Source organism: Homo sapiens, chromosome 11, assembly GCF_000001405.40.
Source record: "Homo sapiens chromosome 11, GRCh38.p14 Primary Assembly".
Classification (NCBI taxonomy): domain Eukaryota; kingdom Metazoa; phylum Chordata; class Mammalia; order Primates; family Hominidae; genus Homo; species Homo sapiens.
In genome coordinates, this window is record NC_000011.10 from 55647701 (window position 1) to 55659620 (window position 11920).

Here is an 11920-nt window from a genome sequence, read left to right on the forward strand (position 1 = left end):
ATAGGAAGAGAAAAAGCAAGATTATTATTAGTTTTCGTGAGTCAACCTTAAGAATTTACAATATAAAAGTAAATGAATTAAATTCAACACCATACTTATTCCAAGCATAGGCCAAACATGAACCTTATCCCAGCTATTTCTCCATAAATCAGCATAGAATCAATTAAGAAGAAAAGCAATGTTCCCAAATAGCACAATCGAATATACTATTTTCTATTACAATATAGCTTTCAAGAAAGAACAATTACAATTCAATAAATAACATAAAACAGATATCTTAATATGTTATATCAAATATGGACTATTTAATGCATATAGTAAAGCATATTAATTCAAAAACAAGGTTTAGAATGATAAAATTATTACTTCTCTTGGCTGAATTGCTTTGGATTAGGGCTATAGTCGTTAATATGAGAATTGATCGGTTTTTGTATTTAGCAACAATTTTTAAAATTTAATTTTAAAAAATTGAACAGACACTAGAATTAAAGTTCATTGGTAGGGCTGCAATTTGATTTTGACTATGGAGGAAGACTTTGGGGAAAAGCTGTCTCCAAGGTCATTTATCATTTTGCATCTTCCTCTTTAAATAGACCTGTAAGAATAGAGAAAACAGCATTTATTGTCAAAGACCCTGTGAAATGGCAGGTATCATTAGGTGAGAAAACCAGGAACAACAAAGACTCATTTCTACCAGCCTTTCAGTTTGGGGGGTCAGGTATTTTCCGGTACTAATTATTCACAAAGGAATTCCCTAGGCATCACTGTTACTTTACCTTGGGAAGCTGCACCCAAATTAACTCAAGAAGAGATAGAAACATAAAGTGAACTCAAGCTCTGGAAAATACTGGTGAGATTTTTTTTTCTTTTCAAACGAATACAGAATATTTGTGGAAAAAGATAATTAAATTGTTAGATTTTGAACATTTATAAAATAATGGAAAAATATTGTTCTCTGAAATACAGAGAGAATGAAATTATTAAAATCATGATAGTAAGATAGTAACATGTACCTAAACATGACTGTGAGGAAGGGTAGGATGGACACAAATAAGAAAATGTCAATAATTTCAAAGGAAAGTGAGTCATTATGCCCAACATGCCCAGATAAAGGAGGAAGGCATCCTTGTGATGGATATTGGCTTAAGGAGAGAAACAGCAAGATGTTACTGCATCAGTTGGAGTCAAGAGAGGCCATGATTCAGAAGGTTAACAGCCTTTACTAGGATGCACATTCTGATAAATGGAACTTTAGATCTCAATCCTGCAATTAAGATAAATGAATACCTGAATAAAATAGATTGGTGAATGAAAAAAAAAATTCCTCTAGAACCTTGTGATATGGACGGTAGGGGAAAAAATCCTCAGGCTTGTGTGCAAAAGCCCAGTTTCTTCTAGATGAGAGCAAAGCAACATAAATAATTGTTGCTCAAAACTGCTATGTTGTGAGCTTCCTTAAGTTGAGGGGCTCTCTTAGTGGAGGATGGTATTTTTCTTTTAATTCAGCAGGATAACTGAAGAGGAATGAGCATGTAAAAGCAGGGGATGTGCTTGAGACTGTATCTAAATCATATTACTATTACTCTTACAATCATTATTTTGTAATGCACAAGAGATAGCACACCTGTAATGACTACTGTGCCAACTCTAACATGAATACCTGAAGAAACACAATCCTATAGATTCCCAAAAGCTGGAAGTATTAGGCACGACTTCACTGCATAAGGATAGCTGAGAGCACAGAGTTTAGTAGGAGTTGTCAGCATTCAGCTGGATGGATCTTGAGAGGATCTACAGGTCTCTGCTAGACCACCTGTAATTGGAGGGATCATTTACACCTGCGGTTGATTAGCGAAAGAATCCTAAAAGCTCCTTTAATCAAAACTATTACAGATACCCTTTTCCATCCATGTACCAATGACCCCATTGTAGTGCCTGAAATTTCACCAATGAATATTCATCCATTTAGATAAATGTCATTTTCCTAAACCCATTAAAATTGTCATTCAGTGATGATCTCTTCCAGAAATATAAATCGACCAAATTGGGAGAATGAATATGGCCAGAATAAAACTTGAAAGATTAGAAAGATGTATGAAGCAATGTTGACATTAAGGGACAGTCTTCTCTTTTTTACACCCATTTTCTTCGTTTCAGTTAATAGAAAAATGTTTAAAAATACAAAGCAAAGTCAGTCCTGGAAAATCCTAAAGTATTCTGAGTTTGCACATGGAGAAATTACATAAGACTTCACTCCCTCTCCTTTCAAATCAAACAGGTCTTGCTTTGTCTCTAGAAGTTTCTTTTATTGCTTTACCTTATTTCTGCCTTCCTATCAGGGTTTTATGAATATTTCATACTGACAGAAGTGATTTAAGTTCACGGCTGAAATAACTATTAATGTGATATGTAACAGTGAAATTGAAACTGTCATTTCACAAATGGGATAAGAGAATTTCTGTTAAGTTAAATAATTTACCTTGGGGGTTACAGTAGTATCATTTTAGAATCAATTTTGTGTAATTTTGCTCCTCTTTCTATTACCTCACACTACATCTTGACTATCAGGGCTCGAGACCACACTGGTGGAGGTGCATACATCATGTGCACAAAGATAGAGTTTCATGAGAAGAACTTGCAAAGGCAAGAGTGGTTAAACTTGCAGAGAAATTGCAGAATATTTGTGAGTTGATGTGATAATCAGGCATGGCAGTATTCAAAAGGTGAAATGTGGGCGTATGTTTTCACTTATGGGTCAAAAATAAAGCAATCATTTCCAGATATTTGCCAGTAGATAACATAGATGTTACCATATCCCAAAATACAGAAGTTGTTTCAAAACTCAGTGTCGTATAAAAAATAAAAACTAAATAAAGTTTAGAAACAGCTAAATAAACATTAATAAAAGGTGAGAGAAGAGAGGCATGTGGTAACATATATATGAGATTGAGGGGATTTACTTTATCTCTCTGGATTTTGCTTTCTCACCTGAAGTGAACGAATGTGATCTTATCTTGAGGTAAGATGATCAAAATAGATGCATTTCAATTTCTTCAAGTATGCATGCCAATCAGCATTTTTTCCTCTTTTGATCTACTGTGATTTTCCGTTGGTTCTGCGTTAGAAATAAAATAAATACAGTCCTTTTTATGTTTTCTTTTTTTCAGGTAATTTAATTGTCTCCTAAGAACTTGACCCATTCCATGGAAAAAATAAACAACGTAACTGAATTCATTTTCTGGGGTCTTTCTCAGAGCCCAGAGATTGAGAAAGTTTGTTTTGTGGTGTTTTCTTTCTTCTACATAATCATTCTTCTGGGAAATCTCCTCATCATGCTGACAGTTTGCCTGAGCAACCTGTTTAAGTCACCCATGTATTTCTTTCTCAGCTTCTTGTCTTTTGTGGACATTTGTTACTCTTCAGTCACAGCTCCCAAGATGATTGTTGACCTGTTAGCAAAGGACAAAACCATCTCCTATGTGGGGTGCATGTTGCAACTGTTTGGAGTACATTTCTTTGGTTGCACTGAGATCTTCATCCTTACTGTAATGGCCTATGATCGTTATGTGGCTATCTGTAAACCCCTACATTATATGACCATCATGAACCGGGAGACATGCAATAAAATGTTATTAGGGACGTGGGTAGGTGGGTTCTTACACTCCATTATCCAAGTGGCTCTGGTAGTCCAACTACCCTTTTGTGGACCCAATGAGATAGATCACTACTTTTGTGATGTTCACCCTGTGTTGAAACTTGCCTGCACAGAAACATACATTGTTGGTGTTGTTGTGACAGCCAACAGTGGTACCATTGCTCTGGGGAGTTTTGTTATCTTGCTAATCTCCTACAGCATCATCCTAGTTTCCCTGAGAAAGCAGTCAGCAGAAGGCAGGCGCAAAGCCCTCTCCACCTGTGGCTCCCACATTGCCATGGTCGTTATCTTTTTCGGCCCCTGTACTTTTATGTACATGCGCCCTGATACGACCTTTTCAGAGGATAAGATGGTGGCTGTATTTTACACCATTATCACTCCCATGTTAAATCCTCTGATTTATACACTGAGAAATGCAGAAGTAAAGAATGCAATGAAGAAACTGTGGGGCAGAAATGTTTTCTTGGAGGCTAAAGGGAAATAGTTGGACTTAATAATTTAAGCTAGATGACCTTAAAATTTCTCAGCCTTGGTTAACTCATCTGTGCAATCAAGACAATAACAACCTCATGGGATTTGGAGTGGAAAAATGAGACAATAACACATTCAAAAGAGTAAGGTATTATTTTTCATTATTATAGCATTTTTATACTATTTCATAATTAGATAACTTCCTGAAATATCTATGACACAGAAATATTATTAAACTTAGAATCACAAAAGTGCAGAAGAGCAATTCCTCTTGGCTTTCCTTTGAGGACAGATTTCTATTACCCTACCTTGCTATTCACTGGTTTTATCATCATCCCTGAAAGCAGAAACTCACCATATGTATAAAGTGGAGGAAATAAATTTTAAAAAATTTAGAATTTCCAAAAGTGTGGGAAGTGTTTTCATATTTTTGGGCTTAAATTGTGAGGTTTCGGGCAGTACAGTATCACTCATATATTTCCTTCTAAATAAACAATCCTCTACCCTGCTGCCTAGGCTATGTATAGAGTAGTGGGGAATTGATAAGGTTGTAATGTGTGCTGACTGCTGACATCTGGGGAGCAGCAAGAGGAAAGGGCCTCATAGTTCACACTGTAGATTTCACTTATCCTTGTGCATGCGTGTTTCATCACTGTCCTCCACATTAATACTGGGAATTATTTAGCTCAGTCTTTCAAAAGAATAAACCTCCAATCTTTTGTGAAGTAATATAGAGGAATTCTTACCTGTCTGTGTAGAAAATGGCCTGTGGAAATAAAATAATTTTCATGTAATACAATGTATGTTTCACTCCTACATTCTGTAGAATCGTATGCTACAAGCATTTAGCATCTCAGGAGTTTTGCAAGTGAACTAACTTGCTAGTTTTCTCTGTCCTTGCTCAGATGGCTATAACTTCCCCCACAATGCTAAGTTAACTACTTAGTAACACTGTTCTCTATTTCTCAAAAAATGTGTGAAAATCTTTCACCAGCTGGTATTTCCTGTTTGCTTTTTTGTCATTGTGGATTAACATATAATTTCTATTTTGCTCTTATTTTAGCAACAATTCAGATGGCAGAGGAAATACATTTTTGTGGATACTTTACTATGTTTCACAGAGATTCTATTTTTTAAAGTATGCATTTATTAGCTTTTGTCATAATACAATGACAAAAGAAGAGAAGAAAAGAATAAAATCAAAAGTTACATAATATTACCATACAGATGTCTTATTTACATGAAAATATAAAGGAACACATGCATATTGAACTGTCTGAAAACTCAAACAGTTCAATAACGTAAAAAATGAAAGAAAAACATAATAATCACTTTCCTATCTTTTCTTACAAACACACCATTGTTCTCAGTTTCTTATGATTCCTTCCATTAAAAATAATCCTATACCTATATTCACTTATAATTTCTATTTTATTTTATGTTTGTAGTCACATAAAGGAATAGTATAAACATTGACACATAACTTTTTCCTTTAGAGAATAATATACTCTGACCGTCGCTTCACGACAGCACTTACAAATGAAACCCCAGGGTCTAGTCAGATTGGACGTAGATGCTCTCACCATAGCAGTTACACTAGAGACCATGCCAGAAAACAGTCCTCTCCCAGGGAAGGTCAAAGCAGCCAGCAGTGTGAGAGGGTGAGATGAACGAGGTAACATCCGGGGTTCGCAATTGATTGAGCATGTGGCCAGAGACTGGGAGGTAGTAATTGAGAATGTCCTTAGGATTGCGACCAGTCCTGTTTTCCAAACTAGACCTAAAGAAAAACACAACTGAGAAAACTTCCTTAGTGTTGCAACAATTCCCAGAACCATAGCTGATAGAGAACATCTTCCTCTTCCAGCACCCATTTTCTCACCCTTGATTTCTTTCACCCTTGGCCAGAACTTCAGTTGGTTTGGGATGTCTGCCTTGTGGGGTGACTGAAAGCTTTATCTATAAGAGTTTGATCCCTAGTTGCCTTGTTCTTATTTACTGTAGTTGCTGCAATTGTCCAGTTACAGTTATCCCTGGTGTGCAAGTGCTAAGAGAGATTCCACTACATTCTCTGCATTCTGGATATAATCATCTCTGTCCTAATCCATTATAACAACACTAGCTACTCATAAAAACCAGAATCAAGTACCCTAGTAAAAATAGTAACTATTTTTTTTTTTGCATGCCGGTCCATTTGTGTAAGGAGCACAAAATAGTGTTCCTGCTGTGTTCCTGGAAAATATCTTCTTCTCTCTAGAAACCGGGACTTCTGTCCTCATGAATCTGAAGACTAAGAAAGTGAGTTTCTGGGAGTGTAAAAAATAGAAAACACTCACTTTCACCCTTTGGATCTCAGAATGATGTATGGCAGGCAAATGGGGACTCCACACCGCATATCAGGCATCGGTTCAGCATTCAATGCATACTCTGAATCCTGAAGACAGCATCCTGTCTCCTCCAGCGCTGACTTCTAGCTAGTCCCTTGATTGAGCTCTTAACAATCCTTTCCCCTCTTCTATGAAGCTAGAAGCTTACGGGTGATGGGCTATATGGTAAGATCAGTGAATTCTGAGATCATGAGAAAATTTTATATCTCCTTTGCCCTAAAAGGTCCTAGGCAATCTTTAAGGGATATTATATCAATGTATCAATCTGTCTGCAAGTTGTCAAATGTTGGTGTAGATGAAGGCACTATGGAGATGGGAGGCAAATCTATGTCTACAGTGTCTATTGTTTCTGATTAGGAGCAATTGCTTTCACTTTCAGGGTGGAAGAAGTTTTGTATAATTAACCCGCTATCAGTCACATAAATATTTTCCCAGAGATAGGCATCACATTGAGTGCTCAGGCATGGATTCTGCTACTGGCATGTTGGACACTCAGAGGGGGCAGACGGCAGATCAGCATTTATGGTAGGGAGCTCGTGTCTCTGAGCCCAAGCATAAAACATCCTTGCCAGTATAGACACTCTGTCCATGTGCTTATTGTGCCATCACTGGAATATCCTTAGGCTGGATCATGTCAGAGCACAGTCCATCCTCATCGTGTAGATAGTTAAAGCCTGTTCTCTTGTACATGCTTTCAAGTTAGTTCCAACTTCAATAGGTCTATTCACATAACTCTTTTCCAGATCGCTTGGTCCAGTCTTCTGACCTTCCAGACACTTGATCAACAAACTAGGCATTTATCACTGCTTCAAGTCAATGTATATTTATTACCCAGGACTCTTCCCCTTCTATACAAAGTTGAAAGCAAGAATATTATTCAGGGTTTTGTCCACTAGCAGAAATTCTCTAGGCTACATACCTTTGAGGCCACCATTTAGGGCTGGGATGTCATTTTAGGTTAATATCAATGTATTGTGGTGACTTGTTTGTGAACCTGAACAGAATCCTTTCCTCCTCTGTCAGATCATCTCAGAGCATTCCCTGTGAGGCCATATGTGTGACTTGAGGAAGAGGCATTGATTTAACAGAGATGAGTCATATGAGAGTCAGAACTATCCATTTGTTCCTGAACCACTCTTTTCTTCTGATCTGCTCAGGCCAAGCTTTTACCAGTTCAGGCTTGTATTTGTTGAATTCAAATTGTTTTATTCCAAGTATTATATTTTATTCTATTTATTTCATATATTAACATAAAACCTTGAAAAAATTTGATTATTCATTTTTTCCCATTCCTTTCTCTAAATTAGTGTCAAGATTATCTTTTTGAAAGCAGCCTTCCCATAGAATATAGGAAAAAAAATTTTTCCTGCTTGTCAGAGGGAATATTTCAAGACATGATAAAAGGTATTAGCATCCTAGACAATATTATTCCCTAAAGTTTCCCTTATTTTGCATATTGAAAACAATTCCAATGTTGTAATAAATTTAACTTTTGGTTTGTCTATTTAGCCTACAAGAACAGTAAGTTAATCTTCCTCATACTCAGTAATTAGATACAAATGAGGATGTGGAGGTGCCTCAAGGACACCAAAGATATGAGGGAGAAAGAGGAAAAAAACAAACGGATGGTGGAGAGGGTGATAGAAAACAGAAAGGCATTGGTTAAAGAAGCTGTGGATCACCAAGAAATACTTCTACTCCCACCAGTGATTTAAAGTTGCCCCTCCCTGCATTGGGGAACAAATTTTTCTAGCTTCTGTAATACACTTATAATTTATTTGCAAGTAGTATGCAGGAAAGGAAGTGTGATGTCTCAAAACAAGAGGTTCTAGTCTGTGGGATATAGACATCTCCCTCCGAGAACCCTCATATTTATAGCAAGTGGCCTGAGAATTAATATGTACACCAGGAACTTAATCTCACTTTTTTCAACTTCATTTCTATTTGTTTTATTAACTCAAGTTAGTAAAATAACACTTAACAAAACACATTTTTATTAATATAATTTTATTCTACCAAATATGTATTGAATGCTTTTTATATACTAGGCTCTGTTTATCATTTTATAAAAGTTTGATCTTTTAATCCACATAAATATTCCATGAAGTAGGTAATAAAACTGAAAGAAAACTGAAACTCACAGAACTTAAGAAGCTTGCCCAGGTTGCACACTTATCTACCCTAAGAAAATGTTGAAAATGACAATTAATGGCCGGCATTAAATAATCAATTGCTATATAAGTAAATTAATAAATAAGACAAATGAAAACACAATGGAAGAGAGCTTGGGTAATAGTTTATAACTAACTTTTCTGTAAAATTACCTATGCGATGGTTAAGGATATAAATAAAATATTCTTTCTGAACTACACTAAAACTAATTATTTAGAAGAATAGCAATGTAAGTGAGGTCGGGTCTTGAGATACATCAAATGCTCCAGTAGAAATCTCTTTCACTGATACGACTTAGCACTTACAATCAACACGTCAAATGAGATGTTGAAAATGTCAGGATGCGCCTATTATACAGTGCAATATTTTTCATAATATGGTATGGAATGTAGTCTCAATAAGGAGAAAACGTGCAATCTTTGGTGGTCATTTGCTGTTTTTATGTACAATATCTAAATACTTTTGCAGATGCATCCTGCCTGCCTCGTAAGAACACTAACGTCAAGTTGTGGAAACTCTCTTGGTGGGCTCTGAACTCTGATTTTCCTCTAAGTAGCCGTAACTTTGACATTTTCAGTATATCTGTGTAATGTTTGGTTTGGGTTAATTTCTTCCCAAGGGTGTTAATATGACTCTCGCTAGCTTGATTATAAAACAAGTCTCCTAGGAGTTAATCTTTGGATTGAAGCATTATTAGCAAACAAATGCAAAGTCAACACATTTTTCTGGACTATTGAGAGAAGGCATTTTCTTTTTCCTAATAGAGTTGCTGAGAGTACAGATACAGGACTCCTGCTTATAATCTTACCAAGAGTGAAAAAAGTCAACACAGAAGGAAGCAGAGCCAACAGATAATTAGAAGGAACCAGTTCTTATAATAAAATTTTAACAACAGAATGTACCTATTTTCAAACAATTTTATCATATTTGTTTTCTGTTATTGCTTTTTACATTTATTTAACTACTATAACAAATACATGTAAATTTACTATCCATACCAAAACTTAAACTGTTACCAAAAATTAAATCCATTTTTAACCTCTTTTCTATGCTGTCCCCTGTCTTACCTGAAAGGTAGCCAATATCCTGATTTTGTTAATGCATAATTCTCTTATTGCTTAAAAATAAAATATATTTGCCTAAGATGGATATGTTTTTTAAAGATTTATCTGGTTTTGAATTTTAAAGAATTTAACATACTATATGTAGAGTTTTAGGCATAGATTTTACTTTTTATTCAGCATTAAGTTATTAAGTTTTGTATTGGTTATTAAGCATAACATTAGACAGTTAACAAAAATGACCCTGAAATGGAAGCCTGTGCACAATTTGTAAGGATTAGGCTCTGAAAATTGGAATGATCATTCTAGTTCTTGATAACCTTACAAGTTGCTGGACATAAAGGAGTCAATGTGAATAGAATCACTTTTTATAGAGTGGAGATGTGTTATGATTTTTTATTCATTTTGTCTTGAGGTCTCTCTCCTGAGAGTGCCCACAGCTCCAGCCCTGCTCAGACCAGGAATTCAAAGGATGTAGACATGGATATTTACAATGTGCCTTTTGTGGATACTTCTTTGTCCTGGAGGAGAGCCCAGTGCCTAAGTGTCTGACTAGGATCGAGAATTTCCTCTCACAGGAAAACTGTACTAGCAGATGTCCTTATGGCTCTTGTCTGACCTGTGCCCAATTTATTCTTACCAGGACTGCCACTTTCTGTGACAGCCCTGACTGGAGAGGGTGGGTGTGGGTGATTGTGTGTCAGATGAAACACAATGAAGAAGTGAAACCAAAATGCATGAAACAGAAGAAAGGTATGACTCACAGGTTTCAGAGAGGTGAAGAGTGCCCACAGGAGTCTGACCAAAGTCCAGAGGCAGCAGGGGGCTCAACAAGGGGAAGCAAGAAAGAGAGGATCTGTGGGTTTATGCCTTTATTAAAGTCCATGGGCATTATCCTTTAGGTTTTCCTGCGGGGGTTGTGAATTGTCTAATTTAAAGAAGACTGGTAAGTAAAGGGAGGACTGATTTGCATAACTCTGACACTGACTATTAGGTTTTATCATAGCCAGCAATTGTGAGTGTGTTGGGTTGTGGGTCAGTAAGTGAGTAACAAACAGGATATGTCACAAACAGCCAGGCCAAAGGTGGCAGAGTATGACTGGGTTTTAGACAATTTACGCTGGGCCTAAAAATAAATGCCAAAGAAGCAACCGCATTAAACAAATTTATCACAAGAAGGAGTGCAAGCTATAAGGCATTACTTCCAAAATGGTAAAATATTACTTAAAAATGTCAGTTATGAAGAAATTGGAAACAATTTAAATAAACAGTTTTGCCTAGATGCATATTTTCTGGTCAAAATGGCAACTTCCTGGGTTCACATATGACTCCTGTGTTGGAAATGGAATCTAGAGATGAGATTTGACTGAGGTTTCTGCCAGTTTGTATGTTCTAGTTACTGTAAGATTGTGGCCATTCTGCAATTCAGGTACAGATCACGGTGCAGAAACATGATTTAATGGTTAATACTGTGATCTAAATTTCTGCTTGTGGAGAAGCATGTGTGTCTGGCCCCAGGGGTGTTCTTGCCCCTGAGAACACCCTATTATTGAAGAAAATAGATGGGAATTCACTGGATTACATATCAGATTCTCCATCAGTGGAGAACTGGCCTCAAGGGATGCAACTAGAATGATGCATTTGTGACCCATCGCAGCTGCTCAAATGGGCAAAACACATTCATACAGCCCTGGTCAGTCACTCAGTGGAGATCATATATTCATGATCTACCTACTCAGAAATGGATCGCAAACTTTCTCCACATTCATCTAAAAGGGCAGTCAACTGGAATTCAAAAAGAAACATGAAATGATTTGGTAAACGCTGTACTTAGATACCTTTTTAGCAATTGTTCTTAATTGGAGACTGTTCTTAGTTATAAACGTCTTGGTAACCCAGGAAAGTTATTTCTTCATTATTAGGCTTACAGATTTTTACTGCTTCTGCTTTAAAACTTTCTTTGAAAACACTTGAAATCCTAGTTCTACGAATCTGACCAAGATTTAATAACTGAATGACTTTTCCCCGATTTATATCTGGAAAGCTTATTTCCACAGTCGGGAACATCAACTTGAAATAAATTCACCTGGTTTTGGACTTGAAGAAGTTATTTCATGTGAATTAATTTTGGGTGTGATAAGATCTTTCGTTATGACTCAGATGACCTTAGAATG

At 36.4% G+C, this 11920-nt stretch overlaps 1 protein-coding gene across 1 annotated transcript; it reads left to right on the plus strand.

The window, feature by feature from the left end:
- The first annotated feature begins 626 nt into the window (after window positions 1–626).
- On the plus strand, window positions 627–5154 carry OR4S2 (olfactory receptor family 4 subfamily S member 2). The gene is made up of 2 exons (NM_001004059.3): window positions 627–850; window positions 3168–5154. Exon 2 carries the CDS (start codon window positions 3204–3206, stop codon window positions 4137–4139), a length of 936 nt encoding a protein of 311 aa, NP_001004059.2. The 5' UTR covers window positions 627–850; window positions 3168–3203; the 3' UTR covers window positions 4140–5154.
- Window positions 5155–11920: the final 6766 nt, after the last annotated feature.

Excerpts from the sequence above, each read along its gene's own strand:
- OR4S2 (NM_001004059.3), top strand. The coding sequence starts at position 3,204 with ATGGAAAAAATAAACAACGTAACTGAATTCATTTTCTGGGGTCTTTCT.